The sequence below is a fragment of the Homo sapiens genome, chromosome X (genome assembly GCF_000001405.40).
Source record: "Homo sapiens chromosome X, GRCh38.p14 Primary Assembly".
Lineage (NCBI taxonomy): Eukaryota > Metazoa > Chordata > Mammalia > Primates > Hominidae > Homo > Homo sapiens.
In genome coordinates, this window is record NC_000023.11 from 57,645,537 (window position 1) to 57,669,575 (window position 24,039).

The 24,039-nt window shown below is 37.4% G+C and overlaps 1 long non-coding RNA gene across 2 annotated transcripts, besides 2 other annotated features; it reads right to left on the reverse strand.

Annotated features, from left to right (window-relative positions):
• Positions 1,288–2,008: an enhancer, noted in NCBI's record as "OCT4-NANOG hESC enhancer chrX:57673257-57673977 (GRCh37/hg19 assembly coordinates)". NCBI's record gives its function as "activates a minimal SCP1, AML or CMV promoter by ChIP-STARR-seq in naive H9 embryonic stem cells {active_cell/tissue: H9 hESC(naive)}" and the evidence as "EXISTENCE:reporter gene assay evidence [ECO:0000049][PMID:30033119]".
• Positions 5,576–6,077: an enhancer, noted in NCBI's record as "NANOG hESC enhancer chrX:57677545-57678046 (GRCh37/hg19 assembly coordinates)". NCBI's record gives its function as "activates a minimal SCP1, AML or CMV promoter by ChIP-STARR-seq in primed H9 embryonic stem cells {active_cell/tissue: H9 hESC(primed)}" and the evidence as "EXISTENCE:reporter gene assay evidence [ECO:0000049][PMID:30033119]".
• On the reverse strand, positions 12,895–22,414 carry LOC107985708 (uncharacterized). Of its 2 annotated transcripts, XR_001755858.2 has the most exons (4): positions 21,969–22,414; positions 17,223–17,349; positions 16,478–16,664; positions 12,895–14,533 (listed from the first exon to the last, which is right to left on the reverse strand). It is a non-coding gene; the product is annotated as an uncharacterized LOC107985708 (long non-coding RNA). The 2 variants fall into 2 exon arrangements; XR_001755859.2 differs by lacking the exon at positions 17,223–17,349.
• Between the last annotated feature and the right edge of the window lie 1,625 nt (positions 22,415–24,039).

Here is a 24,039-nt window from a genome sequence, read left to right on the forward strand (position 1 = left end):
AATAAAAATAAAAATGGGCCAAACATTTGTACAGACATTTCTCCAAAAAAAAGACATGCAAATGGTGAACAGATATGTGAAAAGGTGCTCAACATCATTGATCATCAAATAAATATATATCAAAACTATAATAAGACCTCATCTCACCCCAGTAAAAATATCTTTCATTCAAAAGTCAGGCAATAACAAATGCTGAAAGAATGTGGAGAAAATGGAACCCTTGTACACTGTTGGTGGGAATGTACATTAGTATAGCTACTAGGGAGAAAAACTTGGCGGTTCCTCAGAAAACTATAACTAGAGCTGCCATATGATCTAGCCATATACCCAAATGAAAGAAAATTAGTATATTGAAGAGATATCTACTTTTAATGTTTATTACAGCACTACACGATAGCAAAATTTGAAAGCAATCTAAGTGTTCTTCAACAGACGGATAAAGAAAATGTACATATACACATTGGAGTGCTAGCAAGTCATAAAAAGAATGACATTCTTTCACTTGCGATAACTCGGATGGAAGTGGATGTCATTATATTAAATGAAATAAGCCAGGTACAGAAAGACAAATATCACATATTCTCACTATGGGAGCTAAGTATTAAAGAAATTTAACTCATGGAGATAGAGAGCAGAGGGTGGTTAATAGAGGCTGAAAAGGGTAGTAGAGGGATGAGAGGAAAGTGGGATGGTTAGTGAATAAAAAAAAGAAAGAATGAATAAGACTTGGTATCTTCTTACACAGCAAGATGTTGATGGTCAAAAATAATTTAATTGAACATTTCTAAAATAACTAAAACAATATAATTGGATTGTTTGTAACACAAAGGATAAATGCTTGAGTGGATGGATACCACATTTATTCTGATGTAATTATTAAGTATTGCATGCTTGTGTCAAAATATCTCATGTAAACCATAAAAATGTATACCTACTACGTACCCACAACATTGTTTTAAAAAATTATTTTCTTTAATTTGGTAGTTTTAATTACATATTAATTAGAATTTTAACATATGTAGTTTAAAATTTCAGTAACCTTAGCTTTTGTGTAAACCTAGAATGTAAGTAATTTAAAAAATTCACCACATACCAACATTTTATGAAACATTTATGCCTAATTTATTTCATTCAATCATGTTTGAACTGTTCATAGAATTTTATAAGATATTGAACAAAGCTAGCCATCATCTTTAGTTATTTTCCTGTTAACCATTTACATTGTATAAATGTTAGGCTGTAGCCATTTAAGCAAGAAGTCAAGGGTACTTAAGTGTTTTGCTGTTCATAAGTCACAGCTGTTTTTATTAAACCAAAAATATTAACTAGTGTTGTCTAGTTAATTACCCAAGTCATGAGAACTAAAAGACATTTGAGTTACTTTCTACTTTTCTGATCAAGTATTTGATTTAGGCATTTAATTTTTCTTTAAGCAATTAAGTAGAGCTCTTTTATATATTTGTGCAGTAAAACACACTTACAAGGGTAATATATAAATGTATAGGCATACAGACACACAGAAGCAGATTATTTAGCATTATAAGGTTCTTCACTTCCCAGTGTGTAAATAATTTCTCTCCCCCCTTTGACTATCAAGTTTTAAACAATGGTTAACTAGGCAACTCTAAATTTGCACCTCTAAAAGGATGATCCTTAAGTGAAAATTTACATCTCAAAGGCACTGATCTTAAATCTAAACAACATTATTTGCTGAGACAAAGGGATAGGTGTAGGCTTAGTCAAGACAAGAGTGCTGGCCAAGCATCTTAAAGGTACAATTAGTCAGGTAAACTTTAAGCCAATGTCTTCCCTGTTGTAAAAGTAGTTTCCAGTGGCTTGGGAGCAGGGAGATGCTCTTCCAAATGAAGATTTCCTCTGTAGATGTAAACTTCTTTTAGAAAGAGTTTCAAAATAACAGCTTAATGTCAGAAAGTCATATTTTAGAGACCAGTACAGTTAAATTGTGGTCTTTTCAGCTTAGCTTGCTTCTTGAATAGATTACATACTTCTGGGTGGAGGCCTTTAAAGAACAGGATAAATAAAATATTTGCAGTTTTCAGGGCCTAATATTTAATTGTTTGAGGAGAAGGTACAACTGGAAAGCAGAGAATCTAGATTTTTAAAAATCAAGGATCCCACTTTTTACTTTGAATCCTGGGTCCCCCAAAGGAAAAAAGTGCCATGAGATTAGGCCAAACTTTCACAACACACCTCACTACAAAATATTTTTCTAAGTTTTTAAACTATGCCTTTCTTCACTTTTTGGTGAAAAGAGTCAAACTCTGTAAAACATCTCAAGAGGTATATTCTGAGTCAAACATGAGTGAACATGGCCCATGATACAGCCCTAGGTAAACCCTGAGAATATGTGCCCAAGGTGGCCAGGCAACAACTTGGTTTTATGCATTTTAGGGGGCCATGAGACATCAGTCAATATATGTAAGAGGTACATTGATTCAGTCTGACAAGGCAGGACAACTGGAAGTAGGGGTCTCCAGGTTATAGGCAGATTCAAAGATTTTCTGATTGGCAACTAGTTGAAAAAATTTGTCTAAAGACTTGGAATTAATAGAAAGACAATGTCTGGGTTAAGATAAGGGATTGTGGAGACCAAGGTTCTTGTCCAGATGAAGCCTTTAGGTAGCAGGCTTCAGAGAAAATAGATTGTAAATGTTTCTTATCAAACTTAAAAAGGTGTCAGACTCTTAGTTGATTCTTAGATCAGGAAGAAGTACTGAAAAAAGGAAAGAGGAATCTCTACAGAATGTAGATTTTTCCCCATGAGAGACAACTTGGCAGGGCTATTTCAAGATATGGCAAATAAACATATTTTGGGTTAATATATACATATATATGTGTGTATATATATATATGTCATGATATATGTATATGTATGTGTGTGTGTGTGTGTGTGTGTATATATATATGTCATGATATATGTATATGTATGTGTGTGTGTATGTGTGTGTGTGTGTGTATATATATATATATATATGTCATGTGATGTTATGCCAGTGTCAGGTTGGAAAGTAAGTCATGTTATATAGGGATAAATAAAAGCCCTCTGGTGGGACTTTATGATTTGTATGGCATAACTCCCCACACCCATTAGATAGAGGAAATTTGGGCAAGAGAAGAAAATATGTCAAAGTTTAGTCCTCAACCTAACACATAAAGATAGGAGTAGTCCCCTGTAATAATAAATATCCACCATAAACAACTGCTGTAAGCCACCTCCAAAACTGCAACTCTCAACATCAACTCACCAGCCATCACACACACAAAGGTCAGGTGTTCTCTCATGGTATAAAGTAACCTCCAGTACCACCAAGAGCCAAATATATCATGTAACAGAATACAAAAAAGAGCAGAGTATTAGACCTGAGAGGAACGTTTCCATGACTAGAGCATGAAAACCTTTTAATACCCTAGAGCAACAGGGAAGACTGAAAAAGTATGTGAGTAGTGCCTTTTTCTGTGTTTTTAAGGGGTCTGAGTAATTAGAAGTCCACTCTAGATACTTTTGTTACTGGTGGAGGAGATCTGAGTCACCCCGAGTTACCAGTGGCCTATCCTTATGGGTCCATAGCAACTTCAGTCCGTGCATCCTCAGAAGAATTCAACTGAGGAGCATAAAGCAGAAAATGAGATGGAGACAAGTTCCAGAGCAGAAATGCAAGTTTATTTAAAAAGACCTTGGAACAAGAAAAAGAGGAAGGTGCACTTGGAAGAAACCCAAGTGGGAACATGAAGGTTAAAGAGAGAAGGTCAAGTTCCTCATTTAACCGTGATCCTAGAACTTTAATAAGTTCACCTCTTTCCCAAGATTCTTTCCTTAGGTTGGGCTTTTCACATGCTCAGTGCTTTCCTTACCCTTTGGAATTGAGCCTGGAGAGTGTGTTTAGGAAGTTATAAGCATCACCAACTGAGGCTTTCTTCCCTTTACTGATGGAATATACCCCCAGAAGATAATACTTCATCATTTTTGTCTCTTAACATGCATGCCCAGGAAGTTGCTTCTCCTGGGGTCTCCATTCAATTAACATTTTGTTGTTAACAGGTGTGGACCATCAGGAAATGGTTTCTCCCTGGCACTACCAAATTATCATTTTTTATAGAGGCAATGCAATAATTGTTGTACCATCACCCAACATTTCTAGTGGGTGGGGGGAGAGCCCTTTCCTGCACTGCTCAGACCTAACTACCTGTAACACTTTTATGTTGTACTGAAGACAGAAAAGAGGAAGGAATAGCTTTAATATCAGGTTTTAATGAAGCTAACTTCTGACCATAGAGCTTTATTGTTTAAAAAAGTACATCTTTTGAAATTTTTTACGCTTAGATTTTAGCTGTAACAAACAGCTGATATTTTTAGCTTTTGAACTTCTTTTTACCAAAGGTACACTCCCATTATCTTGATTAAGGCTTAATCACCAAAACCAGTAATCCTTAAGATTATGACTTAACCAAGGATAAACAAGGTGTCTCCTATCAGTCAAGGGAAATGACCAAGGCAAATCTCCATCATTTTAGAAGGTTTATTTACCAAAGTTAAGGATGCACGCCTGGGACACAGGTCTATACCTTTCTCCCAAGATGATTTTGAGGGTTTCAAATTTAAAGGGGAAAGGGTGGAATATTGAGAAATACACATTTTTTTTTGTGAGGGGAAGTAGGGGAAGATAGTCATTTATGCCTTTGTCTGGCTCAGTGAATCTACCTTTTAACATAAAATAGTGTAGACAATAGGGCAGAGAAAACAATCAGATACAAATTTAGAAGACATGATCTCCTAAAAATAAACACATTTGGCTTTTATGATGGTGCAGGTTCTCTTTTGGGCTCCAGTGAGTATATCTAAGGCCATAAAATTTTGCAGCACTGCTTTCCTCATGAGTGAGACCTCATTGTTTAGCAAAGTGATACTCATGTGGATATCATTTTGTGTATACCTTTTGTGTATCATTTGTTAATGCCATATATGCCATATAACATCTTCAATATCTATTTGTGGTATGAAGACTGAAGCTAAACGATCATAATGATAGATGCAGGAGGCAGATAAGTGGGGAACTGGAGAATCTTTGACCCACCTCACAAGAGTTTACATTAGATGCTTTTGTGAAGATAAGGGAAACTGCCCAGCGTCTTGTCTGTGCATGCCCACAACAGACTGGAGATCCACCTGTGCACTGGGACAATGGGGTAGAGCCATGGAAGTTTGTGCCTTGGCCAAGGGGTTGGATCCTGGCCTCTTCAGCTCATGAGTGGTGGCCTGGTATTCAATTAGTGAGGTGGGAACTCATTGGCAGGACTTCCTCTAGATTTACTGTTTCTTTTTTTTTCATTTTCTCCCAATAAATTCTGCTCTCCTCATCCTTCAATGTGTTCATGTGCCTAATTTTTCCTGGTTGTGACAAAAGAACCTGGGTTTAGCTAAACTAAGGAGCAAAAATTCTGCATCATTTTGGTGGCCCATATGGGGACATGAGAAAGGGTAAGATGTGAACCAAAAAATCCTCTTCCCTCTCATTCTTGAGACTTTTTTTCTTTAGACTTCTGAGGGTAGAGGAAACTGAGTACAATCCCATCTCAACAGCCACAGAAATGTGTGTGGAATGGACAGGCAAATGGCAGATCCCCACCCCTCTTCTCTCCCAGCTGGGGCACAAGGCCATGTCAGCTGCATGTGTGTGTGGCATCCAATGGTCATGAAAGGTGGGAATGAGCCACTGCCCTGGGCCCTACATGGCAGGCTGGCCAGAGTTCCCCGCATACATCCGTAGAGTCTTCCCCTCCCCCAGTCAGGGGGTCCAGCTCTATCTGACAGCAATTAAGCTTCTCTCCCCATTGGAGGAATCTATTTGCATAAGAATAAGAGGTTCTTTCCCCAGGCGTCTTTCCAACTCTGCATTTTAAGCTTTTTTTGTCCCTTTTCTGTACCCTGTCAGCAGTTACAGCACAACTGTGCAGTTTAAGCTATTTTTCTTTTCTCCATCAGATCAAGAGTTAACTTTTAAGCAATAGTTTTGTTTTACTTTTAGCAAACATTTTACCAAGCCACAACCCCAACTATCACTGTTTATTTTCTCTGTAAGGTTTTATTTATGAAAAAATATTTGTGAGGTTTGTCTTAAGCTGTAGCCAATCCGGTGTGCTTTGCATGTCTTTCTATATGGTCAGTAGCAGACTTTACTAAGGGCTTCCATCTTGTTTTACATTCTTGGGAGTGTGATCTGTAAGCACATAGCAGTGCTTTGTTTTAGCCTCCATAATTTTACAATGGTGGCCCAGGTTCAATCCTGGCATAGGGAATGAGTTCTTTCTGGTTTGAAATCTGTGTGACCTTTGCCATTTGTTGATTCTCTGCCCCTCCATGAACCACCTTGAATAGTCCTTTTTCTGAGCTTTTAGTAAAGTTTGAAAGACAGAAATATTGGCTGCTTGGCACAGCTAAAGTGGGGGTAACAAGGGATTTAAAAGGATTTTCTTAAAGAGCACTCAGCTTAATTAAAAATTAATATCCAAGTTATAGGCCTAATTAATAGACCTTTATGTTTTTCTCTTCTTGGATCTTGTTTTTTTGGAAAAAGGCTTTTACTCAGTTGACTGAATTATTTTTCTCCATTTTGCCTTGCCACTCTTAATACAAGCCTGAGAGGGAAGAGACCTCTGTTTTCCTTATGGAGCCCCAGGAATTAAAGGCAGATAAATCCCTTTCAAAATCTGTTTTTGTCTTCCAGCTATACCTATTTATTATACCATAGAAACCATAGGATTTCCTGGTCTTGCCCTTAAAGGGCTCCACCCAAAGGCCAATAATCCAATTAGGAGTTTGGCAAATGAAAACTCTTATAGCTACTGGATTCTTTTCTGCCTCACCGTGTAGTTATATAAGTGTTGTGTGTGTAATGTCTATAAAAAAAGATCTCTGATTAATTAACTTCAAGAAATAAGCACTTGCATCAAATATTTTCAAAAGAGAAGATAAAAGCTGTTGTACCTTTTAGTTCATGTGACTTTATTCTTTGATTAAAAAAAAAAAAAGCCTTAAAAATTACTGGTAAAGTGCAAATGTAGTCAAAATGTAAATTTTTGCCTAGGATTAAGAGATTGTTTTAAATTAGATAAGTAAAGCTAAAAGTTCAAACAAGTTGTGGAAGGATTGTAAAAATTATACTTGCAAAAGAAATTCTTCATCTGAACATATTGGCTAAATTCAAAAGGGTATTAAGTGGGGTTTTTTTTTGTAAATTGATCATTGAAATAAAAGCACAACAAGGTACTTAAGGCATTAATCTGTTCTTCAGTGATATTTTTAAAAGTTTATAAAAGGTTTTTGCCTTTTTAAATGTCTGAGTCATCATTTTGGCAAAATAAATAATTTATGGTAATCTGTAATTCCATTTCATAACATCAAGTGTTTTAAATCTCCAACATTTAACAGGTTTCTAAAAATCAAACTTCAGTTTAAAAATTGTCTTTCGTGATGCCTGGCTTTTGGATGCTACAGAGGGCCCCTGGAGCATCCAGAAGGAAGGTAAACAGGATTAGTTAACATGTCTAGGTATCTGGGATTGCCAAAATAATGTTTAATCTTCAGGTTATATTTTAGGGAATAATATTAATATATGCTCTAAAATTGTTTGGAATGTCTAAAATTCTAATGTCTGAGTATATGCTATCAATCACAATCAAGGTTATGTTAAGTTATTGTAAACCAAGGAGATAATAAAATTTCTCTGTCAATCATGTTTCTGACTGTATTCATGGACAATTGTTGTCTTGTGTTAATCCTTTTCAAAATATGGTTTATAATCAACTATAGAAATTTTGACCAGTCATGGTTGCTCACACCTGTAATCCCAGCACTTTGGGAGGCTGAGTCAGGCAGATCACTTGATGTCAGGTGTTTGAGAACAGCCTGGCAAACATGGTGAAATCCCATCTCTACTAAAAAAATACAAAAATTAACTGGGCATGGTGGTGCGTTCTTGTAGACCCAGCTATCAGGGAAGCTGAAGCAGGAGAACCACTTGAACCCAGGACGTGGAAGTTGCAGTGAGCCAAGATTGTACCGCTGCACTCCAGCCTGGTTGACAGAGTGAGACTCTGTCTCAAAAAACAAACAAACAAACAAAAAGAATCTTTGACAGGTGCTCTCAAATGTAGGTTGCTAAGAACTTTGGAGATTGTAACATTGGAATAAAGAAAAAATGTACAGGACTCATGAAGAGCTAAAATGTTCACAAATATCAAGGAAAACAACAGTTAACTGAATGGACTGAATGAATAGACAACTGAAATAATTTTTTGAACTTTTTCTTGGAACATTATTGATTCTTGTTTTGTTTTTCAGAGTCAAATTTTTAGCTACTTACAGCATTTAATAATTCAGTAACGTATACTTCTGTGAATAAAATTTTAAGTATATTTGTCTCTCTCATTCTTCCTGGCTTCTCCAGAATCTGGAAACTAATTGTGAGTATTTTAACTTATGGCAATATAGTTGTTTGCCTCCGTGCATTAAGAGTCTGTTTTCTTCTTCAACAGGATGCAATTGGAGAAACTGGCTGTTTTACCAAGGCTTTGACTGGAAGGGTATGCTTCCCTTTAAGGAATCAAGCTTGACTTGCAGAGCTGACAAAAACTCCTTGGGAAAACTGGCCTCATATCTTGTCTATACTGTCCTTGTACAGGGTTCCTAATCTGCAGCGAGTAAAGAATGTTATTTTCTAACAGGCCCAGGAACATCATGTTCTCGGGGCCTCAAAAACAGAGGAGTTTACTCAACTCACAGGTACTTGAAGGTACAAACCCATGGCTGGGCTGGGCTTTAGAAAGTCCTATCTGAGATTCCAGGTGGAGCAAAGTGTTATCAAAGTCAACCTAAAAGTCCTATGTAAAAATAATTATTCTTGCTGCACTTTATGCAAATAATCAGGCCAAGTATAAGACTAAATCCTGTTTTGCAAACAACTCAGTCCTATCACGATTTGTTTTTAATGAAAATGAGGACTGGAGAAAGAGAACTTATGTTTCAAAATTTGTCATACATTTGTCATTAAAGCCTAGACTCATTAGTTGTTTTTAAGTTTTTTCCTACATTTTAGACTAACCTTGCTTATTTATGTAAACCAACCAGCAATCTCTGGCTACAGCTCAAAAGGAAGAAAAAAGGATGGGTAATGTAAAAATATGGATTAATATTCTAGTTCTGAGCAATTATCTGCAGATCCTGCCAGGTGATGGAAATAAATAGGATGCCTATCACCTGGAGGTTTCCTTATTGGGTAAGTAAAACCAAGGGAGCTAACCAAACCCAAGCACCATGCACCCAAATCTTGGCAAGTATAACTATAGCCACAAGTTATCTGGGCATGCCACAAAACATTCTTTTCTCTTTCTAATTGGAGAAATTCTGCAGCTTCACCTTAGCAGTTGGCTTATAATAAGGAGCCCATGAAAGCCCCCATGAGACACATTTTTTTTTGTCCTAAACTGAATTCTAAGCTTCAGGTCAAAGTCCTAGAAAAGAAAGCTGGATCTGAGGAATCTAGAGGCAGACAATAATGGAAGTTAAAAGGCAGAGTGCAGGTGAGCATGACTGATTCCTGCTGATTAACTCAAGTTTCTTGTTTCATGGATAAAGGTCATGGTAGTATCCACAGCATAAATGAGGTCTAGCAAATTTGAAGGCATCTGACAGCAGGGTATATAGGACGTACATGGGTAAGAGTGAATATGCCCAACCCCTAGGCACCCCTGTTAACATGGGTGAAAGCTGCTTTAACACACATGGCCAGAACCCTGTCATGGTCACCGGGAATTGGGGATGTAAGAACAAGAAGACAGAAAAACACCTCACTTTCTCTCACTCACATATGCTGGATATTCACTAGGAAGAGAAGGGAAACTGGGACACTTTGCTTCCTTCTTTCTAAATGAGTAGCCATTCATCTTTAGTCTGTACCTCCTTCAAATGCATCCTGAACCCCTGGGGCTCCTTTGAAAAATGGCTTCTTTTTTTCTTTCTTTTTTTTTTTTTCCTCCTCCGTCCTCTCTTCACTGATAGGTAAGTGTGTCTCTGTACTGTGGGACACTCCCTTTGGATACATCCTTCAAGCTGGGAAAAGTTAATTTTCCAGACCTTAAACTGGTTGGCTTAGGATTGGGCTCAGGGGAAGGGAAACCAGAAGCCTGACATGCCAGCAAAAGGCTAAAAATTTTTTTACCAGTTGGGCTTTTGGCCTCCCTCTCTCTGTGCAAACCAGTAAAGGCCTCAGGATTTTTGAGCTGTCCTTACTGCCCCCCCTTTTAAAGTTTCATTTAAATACATGTTTTCTAATAACCTCGTTTGTCTGTTCTCACCTTTAGGCCATCAAACTCCAAATGGTCATGCAACTGGAGCCTTGAATTATGGCCCCTTTTGCCAGAGACCCTTAGATAGGCCTTGGAGGCAGATTGGACTGCTGTTTTTCAAAAGCAGCACCCTCTGTCAGCAGAAAGCAGTTAAGATTGGTTTTCATCCGCATCATTATCCTTATTCTAATGGCACTTAGATGTACTTATTTAGAGGGGGAATAATAGACACAAGAGGCAGAGAAGGGAGGTCACTGGAGAATCTCCAATCCACTCCACCAGTGTTTGTATCATACGCTTTTGTGCAGATGAGGGAACCTGCCTGTAGTTTTCTCTGTGCATGCCTGCAATGGACTGGGGACCAATCTGTGCACTGGGAGGATGGGGTAGAATCATGGGAAGTTCATGCTTTGTGCAGTGGGGAGCAGCCTGACCTCTTCAGCTCATGTGTGGTGGTCTGGTGTTTAATATGTGAAGTGGGAGCCTATTGGCAGGACTTTCACTTTGCTGAGAATTTTTCTTTTTTTTCCTTTTTACCCAATAAATTCTGCTCTCCTCATCCTTCAATGTGTCCATGTGACTAATTTTTCCTCATCATGATAAAAGAACCTCAATTTAGCTGAACTAAGCAGCAAAAACTCTGCATCAATACCATTGAAATACAGATCATGTGCAGTGAGATTGTAAATGAAAAAGGTTTGTTGGTTTTGGCAGAGACTGAATTACTTGTCCTTGTGCCCAAGCATAAACTAGAGAACATTGTCTGAACCATCTTGGCAATAACCACGGCCATAGGTTAGTGTCACATAGCCAAAATGTCCCATTTGGAAATAGCTAATAAATACCTGGCTGCTGTACCCAATCAGTGGCATGCCAGTCAGTGTATTATAATATAATAATGAGATAACAAAGTTCTCCAGGTATTCACCCCATATCTCTTGAAGTGTTTTGGCAATTGGCCCTTGGTGTAGTTTCTTTGTTCCCCAGCATAAAGAAGCATTTTGGCCGAGTTTGCCAAATGAAGGGGTGAGCCAGATGAACCGATTCCAAAGTTTCATTATGCCATTTTGAAAATGGGCCATTGTTTGAGGTGCAGCATGGTTATTTCCTTCTCTTTTTGCTAGCAGTGTTGCTAAAGTTAGAGTTAGTGAACTTAACCTTTCTGTTGAGAAACTTTTTCCATAGGCCTTGCTCTTAAGAATGTTTTGAATGGGCAATTATATACACCATCTTTTCTTATATTAGCCACTAAGGATACCAGACCATTTCTGTGATATAATAACTTTATGGTATTTTATCCAGTCCTCACCTTGAAAAGGAGATGCCCACCATAGCAGGCTAGATCTACTGGAAAGAGTCATGAGTCCACATATCCAGCAGGCATCCTTTTGTAATCTGTCTGCATAATTCTGATCCCATTGTAGAAACAGGTTTCTTTTATGGACAACAGTGGGTAGCAGTGGCAAGAATGCATAGAAACATAAGATAAGTAGAAGCAAGGTTTTGAAATTCTTTTTAACTACTAAAAGGATATTAAATAAGAAAAGGCAAGTGCCATTTTGCATAAGATAGCAATTGCCAATATCTCTTGGACAATAATTGTAATGGCTATTATACTATAACCATAGATGTTCTTTTGTATATAGGCCCGGTCCTGTGTCTTGGATTTAAGCAGTCCACAACATGTCATTTGATTCTCATCCTGGATAGAATATCAGTGTTTAGTAAATTGGAGTTGAAGATCTTTGCTGAAAGTTACAGTCCACTCAGGAGATTTAGCCTTTTTAAGATGAGAGCAGTGATTCCATGAGCCTATACCCACTATTTTCGTGGCACATGGATTAGTCAATAGTGTCTGGTATGGGCCCTTCCATTGGGGTTGAAGGGAGTCCTTTATTAAATGTTTTTTTTCTAAAAGCCAAGGTCTCCATGCTACTGATTATGACCAGGTACCCTGTCTTCAGATAGTCAACTGTGAAAGGAATTGACAAATTCAAATAAGCCAAATCTTGGCTTTTTAAAAAACTATGATGAATGACTCCCTTACAATATTGCAATATATATACCTCCATTTTAAAAAGTTGGGTTGGTTATTTTGCTTCCCATACACAAAGGCCTTCCCCTTATAATTTCATAAGAGGATCGCTGATGTTTTCTAAAAGGGGTGGATTGGAATATAAGCAGCACCGCAGGGAGTGCTTTGGGCCAGGGGAGGTGAAATGCCTCTATGAACTTAGCCAGTTGTGTTTTAATTATTCCATTGGTCCTTTCCACCAGCCATGAGGACTGGGATAAAGGCACAATGAAAGTGTTAAAATACGGACCCAATTTTACAAATATTTTGAATAATCTTGCCCGTAAAACTTCACAGTAACACTGTGAAGTTTACAGAGGACTCCCCATAATGGAATAACTTTTTTCTAATAGAATTTTCTAACTGTCATTATTGTTGCTTGCCTGCAGGGAAAATCTTCAACCTGATGGGAAAATATGCAGACCATTACTAAAACATATCTGTAACCCTGAGATAATGTCAGCTGAGTAAAATCAAGCTGCCATACCTCAAAAGGTCAGCTGGAAGAGGAAAATGACCCTGGGCCCCATGGAGGAAATTCCATGGGTTATATCTGGGAAAACTAACACATTGGGAGTAAACATTTTGTGCTGTCATAGAGGATGGTTTTCAGTAATATTGTTTACACCAGGATATAATTTTATATGGATTCCAAAGGGTCAGATTATGAACATATTTCATAAGGGGCACTTGACATCCCATTGGAATAATGTGGTTATTATTAGGTCTATACTGTATTTCAGTTTCAGTTTTCAGTAATATTGTTTACACCAGAATATCATTTTATATGGATTCCAATGGGTCAGATTATGAACATATTCCATAAGGGGCATTTGACATCCCATTGGAGTAATGGGATTATTATTAGGTCTACACCATATTTCAGTTTCAGAAGATAGGCTTCCTTCTGTTTCCAAGTAGATATCTCTTTAGTTGGGGCAATGCTTTGAGTTTCCTTCAACATGTTCTTAACTGCTTTCGATTTTATGGCCATTTCCCAGATTGAGACTGGTGGCTCGAATGCTGCTCTTTCAGGTTAGCTTCAGTAAATTGGTTACCCCAACTTTCAGTGATGTCCAATTTAGAGTGACCTGGGATTTTTAGAATTGCCAAAAGTCTGGGTTTAGAATAGTTCCTAACAGCTCTGATACTGATACTTGTTTTCTGTTTTTTTTTTTAATGGGTTTTCTTTAGGTTAAATATTCCCTCTTCTTCCATAGCATCTGATTGTCATGAGCAACCCCAAATGCATAGCGACAGTCAGTGGATATGTTCTCAGCCTTGTCTTTTGCCAATTGACAAGCTCAGGTCAGGGCTGTCAATTTGGTAATTTGAGCTGATCTCGCTTAGGAAAGATGACTGGCTTTGAATTACCTCTAGTAAGAAAACCGTAGCATATCCTGTTCTAAAATTTCCATGCTCTTCTCTTAAATAAGACCCATTTATAGATAGATACCCAACCTATCACAGCTTTATCCAGTAGCATCTCCTGTAGGTCTGTCTTTGGGGTAGGAAGTTGGGCAGTCATAAGAACACAGTCATGAGAGGTTTTGTCAAAAGGGCCCAGCAAGAGAGTGCCCAGATTAAGATTGTTACAGAAGGAAATGGTAATATTTGGAGATGAAAAATGAAACTTTATAAGAGGCCAGCTAGCTGGCAGACAGGCTTTGAATATGATGAAACTTTAGAAGGGTTTTCTTTAATTGTTGTACAGTTGATTGTCTCTCTGGAGTCCACATGATGGAGTCAGATTGTTCATTTTTATAGGTATGCATACAAAGGTTGAGCCATAAGAGAGAAATGCAGAATCTAATTCCTGCAGTAGCCAGCCAGTTCCAAAAATTCTCTAAGTTGTTTTTCAGTAATAGGTATTGGAAAACATTAAATTTCTTTCACTCTATCAGGGTTAATACTAAGTCCTTTCACTGAGATAATATGCCCCAAATACTTAACTTGTGGCAGGCATAGCTGAAGTCTGTCTTTAGACGCTTTGTATCTCTCGGTGGCTGTTTGAGTAAATCTAGATATCTTCCTGAAAAGTAGATATGTGTCTGAACAAGTGAGAAGGTCATCCACATGCTGGATGACTGTTGCACCCTGGGGAAAAAAAATAAATCCTGTAAATCAGCCTTTAATATTTGAGAAAAATAAGTGGTATTTTCTGCATACCCTTGGGGATTTACAGTCCACGTATATTGTCATTCTTTCCAGGTAAAGGCAAGCAAATATTGGCTCTCTGGATCTACAGGAATTCTAAAGGAGGCATTGCAGAGATCCATAACAGAAATGTTGGCTGGCAGTCAGTACAGCTGATAGAAGGGTATGAGGATTGGGGACTACTGGGTGTCTGGGTATTATGATATTGTTTACTGCCCTCAAGTCCTGTATGAATTATCATCCTCTCCCACTTGTTTTGTTTTTGTTTTACAGAGAATATAGGGCTTTTTCAGGGACAAGTACAAAGAATAATGAGCCCCCTTTTGAGTTAATATTGTATGATGGGGCAATTCCATCTATGGCTTTCTGTCACAGAGGATATTGTTTACAGTTGGGTAGTGGTTTATTAGAGTGTATCTCAACCTTTATTGGTGTGCTTGAGAATATTTTCTTTATGTCTGTATTTGACTGGGATGGTATACTCTTAAGCAAATGCTCTGCTTCTGAAGTTAACAGAAAGATTGGGGAGGCTAAAATAAATTTACCATTCTCTGCCCTTTATTCCAATGTTCTCTCTTCTCCTGTAATATTTTATTTTCTGTTTCTATTTCATATTCCCAGTCACAAGGTAGTGTTTTAACATCATTAGTACTAAATCCTGGTACATTATCTGGATGTTTTTTAATTTGGAATTTTTTATCTCCTGTCTCGAATTCTTAAAAAAAGTTTATCGTTTGATGAAAAAGAGATATGGGCATTATGGATCTTGAGGATATCATAGCCCAGAACATTGATGAAGGTCCCACAGTTTATTAGAAACACATGGGACAAACTAAGTGTGTCACATTTAGAGCCTTCAAGGGGAAAGCTCAATCCAATTAAAGTGTAAGTTATAGATATGGACTTAAAACATGAGATAGTTTGATCAGACACATCAACCATGTTAAACCTTTTATCACTCTGTGAAATGGGGTTTCTAAATAAGGTACGATTTATAAAAGTTATAGTTGCTCCCATGTCAATTAAGGCAGATGAACACTCATGGTTTATTATATTAATCTCTCTCAATTTGTCAGGGTAGAATATTTGCAGAGATGAAACCCTTTAACTTTCTCAGAGCACCCCTAGTCTTCCTGAGTTGCACCTTCCTGCTGTTGCTTCCATTTCAGTCTCAGGCAGTCCCTTCTGAGGTACAGCAGTAACAGACTGGAAAGGAAGAGTCCTCAGATTAAGAGGGCTTAATATTTTTTTGAGGCTGAGAGGTTAGAGAAGTTAATTGCTTTAACTGTAAATGCATGATTCAAACAGTCTTTTGGTTTTCCTTTTTTATCATAGTACGAGATAATTGGTCAGCTAAGTTAACTAGTTCATTAGTTCTGGTTGTGCCCCACTTTGTCATATGGCATTTTACAAGGCTAGCTAAATTGTCTTCTAATCTGTTTAAGAAACTTGTGTTTAATAATGTATCATTTTTATTATTTTCAAAGCAATCAGTTGACATCCCACAATATTGTCTCAAAGTTTTATTAAAATGTGTACAATAAACTAAAGCTGATTCACTTGGGTTCTGGCAACATTACTGGATTTTATTCCAACCCACAACTCTTTAGAATAATGATAGAATGATATTTAACAGAGCAGTCACTCATTTCCATGTATCTTTGTGCTTGTCTTCTGGATGTTTGGGGGCTGGTTATTGTGGCACTATTGGGCCTTCAGGGACTAAGTGAGCTATAGGGCTTGACTGGTGTGCTTTTTCTAGCTGTTTCTTAGTATTAATTCTGAGACCAAAATGCAGAACAGCTGCTAAAGGTCTGAATGACATAGGTCACAGGTTCTGGTAATGAGACCAGGGTTGATAGACAATCAATGAGGTTTCCTTACCTGCACCAGTTGTTCCTGAAAAAGAATAATCATATAAGATGTTCTTGCAGGGTCCCCCTTTCCTTCATCTTCCAGATGAGAAGTTGCCAGCAGGGATATCAGGGAATAGGCAGGAGGTAGAGTCTTGGAAGTTAGTCTCTCTTCTGACTTCTGTTGAGTGAGTGGCAGACAGAGGGAAAGATGGTAGCTTGGAACAAGCAGGAGAAAGAGAAAAGAGATCTGGTCAAGGAAGTTCAGAAAGATCAGAGTAAAGTGAGGGTGGAGGTGGAGGTGTGGGGGGCACCAAATGGGAAGTAAGAAATTCTGAGAATTTTCAAATAGACACAATAAAACATAATAAAAAAGATATCCCCACTGACCTCACAGAAATACAAACAACAATCAGAAAATACTATAAACAGCTCTATGCAAATAAATTAGAAAATCTAGAAGAAATGGATAAATTCCTGGACACATACACCCCCCAAGACTGAAGCAGAAAGAATTTGAATCCCTGAATAGACCAATAACAAGTTCTAAAATGGAGGCAGTAATGAGTAGCCTACCAACAACAACAACAAAAAGAGGCCCAGGAGCAGACAAATTTACAACTGAATTCTACCAGAGGTACAAAGAGGAACTGGTACCATTTCCTCTAAAACTATTTCAAACAGTTGAAAAGGAGGGAATCTTTCCTAACTCATTTTATGAGGCCAGCATTATCCTGATACCAGAACCTGGCAGAGATATAACGAATAAAGGATACTTCAGGCCATTATGCATGATGGACATTGATTCAAAAATCTTCAATAAAATGCAGGCAAACCAAATCCAGCAGCAAATCAAAGAGCTTATCCACCACAATCCAGTCGGCTTCTTCTGTGGGATGCAAGCTGGTGCAACATACACAAATCAATGAATGTAATTCATCACATAAACAGAACTGAAGTCTAAAATTACATGATTATCTCAATAGATGTAGAAAAAACATTTGATAAAAAATTCAACATCCCTTCATGTTAAAAACTCTCAATAAACTAAGTATTGATGGAACATATTTCAAAATAATAAGAGCCATTTATGACAAACCAATAGCCAGTATCATACTGAATGTGCAAAAGCTGGAAGCATTGCCTTTGAAAACTAGCACAAGACAAGGATCCCCTCTCTCACCACTCCTATTTAAAATGGTATTGAAAATTCTGGCCAGGGCAATCAGGCAAGAGAAGGAAATAAATAGTATTCAAATAGGAAGAAAGAAAGTAAAATTTTCTCTTTTTGCAGATGACATAATCCTGTATCTAGACAATCCCATCAACCCAGCCCAAATCCTTCTTAAACTAATAAGGAACTTCAGCAAAGTCTCAGGATACAAAATCAATGTGCAAAAATTACAAGTATTCCTATACACCAACAATAGACCAGCAGAGAGCTATATCATGAATCAAGTCCCATTCAGAATTGCCACAAAGAAAATAAGATACAAATACAGATAACAAGGAAAGTGAAAAACCTCTTCAAGGAGACCTACAAACCACTACTCAAGGAAATCAGAGAGGACACAAACCAAACATTTTATGCTCATGGATAGGAAGAATCAATATCATGCAAATGGACATACTGTCCAAAGTAGTTTATAGATTCAATGGTAATCTCATTAAACTAACATTGACATTCTTCATAGGATCAGAAACAAATTAATTTAAAATTTATATGGAACCAAAAGAGAGCCTGTATAGCCAAAACAATCTTAACCAAAAAGAACAAAGCTGGAGGCATCACACTACTTGACTTCAAACTATACTACCCGGTTAGAGTAACCAAAACAGCATGGTACTGGTACAAAACCAGAAACGTAGGCCAATGGAACAGAATAGAGATCTCAGAAATAAGACCACACATCTACGACCATCTGATCTTCAACAAACCTGACAGAAACAAGCAACAAGAAAATGATTTCTTAGTTAATAAATAGGGCTGGGAAAACTGGCTAGCCATATGCAGAAAATTGAAACTGGACCCCTTCCTTACATCTTATACAAAAATTAACTCAAGATAAATCAAAGACTTAAACTTACAAACCAAAACTATAAAAACCCTAGAAGAAAATCGAGGCAATACCATTCAGGAAATAGGTACAGCCACGTATTTTATGATGAAAATGTCAAAAGCAATTGCAACAAAAGCAAAAATTGACAAATGGAATCTAATTAAACTAAAGAGCTCCTGCACAGCAAAAGGAACTATCATCAGAGCAAAGAGAAAGCCTACAGAATGGGAAAAAAATTTTGCAATCTATCCATCTGGCAAAGGTCTAATATCCAGAGTCTACAAGAAACCTAAACAAATTTACAAGGAAAATACAACCCCATCAAAAAGTAGGCAAAGGTCATGAACAGACCCTTCTCAGAACAACACATTTATGCATTCAAGAAACATATTATAAAAAGCTCAACCTCACTGATCATTAGAGAAATGCAAATCAAAACCATGATGAGATACCATGTCATGCCAGTCAGAATGGCCATTGTCAAAAAGCCAAAAAAAAACCGATGCTGGTGAGGCTGTGGCGATATCGAAATGCTTTTACCCGGTTGGTGGGAATGTAAATTAGTTTAGCCAGTGTGGAAGATAGTGTGGTGCTTTCTTAAAGACCTAAAACCAGAAATACCATTTAACCTAGCAGTCCTATTACTGGGTATATACCCAAAGGAATATAAATCATTCAATTGTGAAAATACATGCACATGTATGTTCATTGCAACACTATTCACAATAGCAAAGACATAGAATCAACACAAATGCCAATCAATAGACTGGTAAAAAAAATGTGGTACATATGCAGATGCAGATGACCTAATCCTATATCTAGAAAATCCCACTGACTCAGCCCAAAAGCTTCTTAAACTAATAAGGAACTTCAGCAAAGTCTCAAGATACAAAATCAATGTGCAAAAATTACAAGTATTCCTATACACCAACAATAGACAAGCAGAGAGCCAAACCATGAATTAACTCCCATTCATATATACACCATGGAATACTATGGAATACCACGGAATACCATGCAGCCATAAAAAGGAACAAGATCATGTCCTTTGCAGAAACATGCATGGAACTGGAAGCCATTATCCTCAGCAAGCTAACACAGGAGCAGAAAACCAAACACTGCATATTCTCACTTATAAGTGGGAGCTGAACAATGAGAACACATGGACACAGGGAAGGGAATGACACACACTGGTGCCTGCTGGGAGGGTGGGGGAAGGCAGAACATCAGGACAAATAGCTAATGCATGCTGGGCTTAATATCTAGGTGATGGGTTGATAGGTGCACCAAATCGCCATGGCACAAATTTACCTATGTAACAAAAGTGCACATCCTGCACTTGTGTCCTGGAACTTAAAAAAAAAAAAATTAAATTAGAAAAAAAGGAAATTCTGAAGATTTCTTTTAGAGAGATAAAACATTTGAGAGTTATTGGTTAGCATTTCTAAGTTGTTTGTTGGCCTCTTGATGATGAGGCGGTCTTTCTCCCCCGTTTTTTGCTACTCTATAGGTACCATTGAAAGTAGTTCTCACATTTTGTTTGTTTAGCTTTTGTGTCAGCATTTTCCATTCTAGTTCTCAGGTACACTTATCTGGGCATCTCAAAAAAATCCTCATCTAGGCCATTATAACTTAGGATCTGCTTTGGTTATGTTATAATGGTCTACTTAATTAAATATTTACATGACAATTCACCAGAAGTATTTTGCATATATCCTACCAGAGTTTCTAAGAGTGGAACTTTATGTTTCCAAGATGCAGGGGTTTTAGCTAGCTTAGAGGCCCAGTTCTCCATAATTTAGAGTTCTCCTTCAGATTTGACCAAGTCAGGGAGTGTGTTGGGCCCAAAGTGTGCTGCTTGCAGACCTAGCTTTTTACGGCCATTACTCCCTGAACTTGTTTTGTCCACCCATGTTGCAGCTACCTGGCACAGTGTATCAGTGATATGAACAGGAGGCAGAGCCTCCTGTTGTAATACTTGTAATTTTTGCACATTGATTTTGTATTTTGACACTTTGCTGAAGGTCCTTATTAGTTTAAGAAGCTTTCAGCTGAATAGCCTGAAACCAGGGCCTAAGTGAGAACTTAACATCTGCTTGAATTTTGCCTTTTCCAAAACCACCCATGGCCCACCTCACCTCCCATTTTCTACCTATAAAAACCTCAGGGTCAGCCAGCAGAGAAATGAGAAGCAGCTGGACATCAGAGACTATGGCTGGATGTCAGAGAGAAGCAGCTTGACTTCAGAGGGACAGCTTAATGGCATAACTTTAGAGAAAAATTTGGCCAGAGATTGCTAGACTTCAGGGGAATATTAACTTCTCACTCTGTCTCCTTTTCATCTCCTTTTTAAAATGCTACCTAGAGGCTTTATCTGCATGATAAAACTGTGGTCTCCACAATCACTTATAACAACCCAGAAATTTTTTTCTGTTGATCCCAGGTGTTTGGATAAACTCAAACAGTTGTCAGCCAGAAAACTTCTAAATCTACCTATAACCTGGAAGCACTCCTCCTTCCATTTTGAGGTGTCCCACATTTCTGGACTAAACCAAAGTATTTTTAAAATACATTTGACCACATTAGGCACATGTTTCCAGGACCTCCTGAGGGCCATGGTCACTGATATATGTTTCAGAAATAATCTCTTTAAATATTTTACAGAGTTTAACTATTTTCATCAACAGAAGCAAGCAGAAACTCTCAGGAAAACAGAAATTTTTTTAGCAGCAAATTAAACCTCAGTCCCCAACTAAAAAATTTTGAAAGTTCAGGGATCTTTGGAGAAAGGAGGTCCCAGACCTCAGCAAATTGTTTTATCATTTTGAGCTATAAAGAGCCCAAAGCCAGTACCAAGCACCGATAGTGTTACTGATGGAGGACGTTCAGCTTCTTGCTGTTTTGAACAAAGAATTAAGCCAAACACACAAACAAAGCAAGGAAAGAATGAGGCAAAAAAAGCAGCGATTTATTGAAAATGAAAGCACACTCCACAGAGTGGGAGTGAGCCTGAACAAGTGCCACAAGGGTCCAGTTATGGAATTTTGGGGGGCTTAAATATCCTCTAAAGGTTTCCCACTGGTTATTTGGTGCACTCCCTGTGTAAATGAAGAGGCTGAAGTGAATTTACAAAGTTATTCACTTTGTGTACACCCTATGCAAATGACGAGGATGAAGTAAGGTTACAAAGTTATTTACTTGGTGCACATCCTATGCAAATGAAGAGGATGTTTCCTTTCATATCTGAAGTAGAGTTACAAAGTTATATACTTGGTCTTATAAAGTTTGGGGTTTTCCATTTGATTTTGTTCTAGGAAGTCCTTAGGTTCCCTGCTTTGAGACCCTAATATCCTGCCTCATCTTCCCCCTGGAAAGACATGATGCCTACAATTATGTGAGGAAGAGGGACCAATGGTCTTTATTCTGGAACTGCTTCATGCTGGCTTGGAGCATAGTCCTTACCTATTGGGGATCATGGAACTCTTGTCCTGCTCTTTCTAGTGAAGACAGGGTAGCTTCTTGATAACCAGGGGTGATATCTTTACTTGGAACTGGCTGTAACCCTCATCACATGATCATCTGAAGCTTGATGGTCTCTAGGTGACAGGAAATGAATTTGGTTAAAATATTTAAGGGAAACTTCAGGGGGTGGATACCTATGCTGTCAGGAATGTTTCTTATAGAGATTTGCAGGAGAAAAATCCTGGTCTGTTCTGAGATCTATGTGTTTCCTTAATGTCTTAGCATGAATGACTCCATTTCAGTTTGGTTTGGTCTGTTGGGGCCTAGCACATGAGCTCAGTCTAAAACAATGGCCTCTCATAATTTTGTTTAAAAAATTTCTCCCTTTCTGGTCAGGTTCTCACTTGTGCATAAAAGCTCTTGCATGAGAAAGCTTTTATACAACCAGAAAACATGCAGTGAAAATGAAAATTGAAATGTTCAAATGGCCCATCAGGTAGTCAAATGTACCCAGAGCTTTGATCATCTACCCAGAAATATGGATTTGACAAGGTAAACATTGATTATAAGCTATTTTAGCAATTTATCAGTACGCACACCAAAATATATTTAATTTGGATCATTTTATCTTTCCATAGTGAGTCATGGAATGCATTACCTTTAATAAAAAAAAGCTTTTAAGACTTAGAAAAGATGAGGACATCCTGGTTCCCCATGAGAACTGTTCCCCATAACATTGGACTATGTCCTCTTGAATACTAGTGTTTTCTCCAATTTAGGTACATAGCACTGATAACTAATGAGTTAGCATAAGTAATTTGACTTAGAGGGGCCATGAAGTTTATTCAAATTATATAACCAAAAATTTCAGTATCAGTTGATTTCATTGAAAATCTGGCAAAGTATTTTCTTGGTATTCAATATTAATATCATTCACAAAAATATAACCTGAAGAAAATTAAACATTATTTTTTTATTTTAACAATGTTTCCACATAATTAAAAGTGTCAAATAATCTTGTTTAACTCTTTTTTCATGCTCAGGGGACTTCTGTAGCATCTCAAAGTTAGAGGTCAGAAAAGACAATTTTGAAGCTGAAATTTGATTTTGGGAAGACTATCAAATATGTTAAATGTTTAAAACACTTGATATTATGACATTGAATTTCATATTACAATAAGTCATTCATTTAGCCAAAATGATGACTCAAAAATTTTAAAAGGTCAAAACCTTTACTAATTGATAGAGGGAAGACTTAGTTTTCCAAACAATCTGTCTCTTATCTTCCCCCCCACCCTGCTTTTTTTTTTTTTTTGGTAGTTTATTCAAAAGGCAAAGAAAAATCTTTCATTATCTTTTAATTTTGGTGAAAAACCTGGTAAGTCATTTTAAATATGTACTAGGTGCCTATAAGTTCTCACTATTTCCATCATAGCTAGGGGCGTGGCCAAGTTCACATGTCTTCAGTCCTTATGTAGCTGTAAAGCAGGCAAGTCAAACAATTTTTAAAAGCCCAAAGAAGCAGTTTATGACCTTAAAGCATTTAGCAAACTTAATATTCGACCAGCCTACTTTAGATCAAATGTCTTTATTTTACCAGTAAGTTTTAAAGCTGTTTTTAATTCCCAAAGATTACTAAAATCATGTGAACTAAAAGTCATTACAGCTTTTATTTTTCTTTCAAAATATTTGATTTAGATCAAATATGCTTATTTTTCTTTAAGCCAATTAATTAGAGCTCTTTTATATAAACATTACACACATAACACACCTATAACTACACAGACAGAAGATCTAATAGTTGTAAGATTTTTCATTTGCCTGTTTTTTGATTGGATTACTGGCCTCAGGGTAGAGCCCTTCAAAAAACAGGGCTAGGAAAACATGTAGTTTCTAGGGTTTAATAAGAAGGCACAGCTGGAAGTAAAATACAGATCCCCAAAATTAAGGGTCCCATTTTTATACCAGATACTGGATCACAAAAAGAGGGAATCAGCCATCTTCCCTGGGAGTCTTCTCTCTCAGAGGGGATTGGAGAAATTTCCATAATTTCTAGGTGGTCAAGATCATG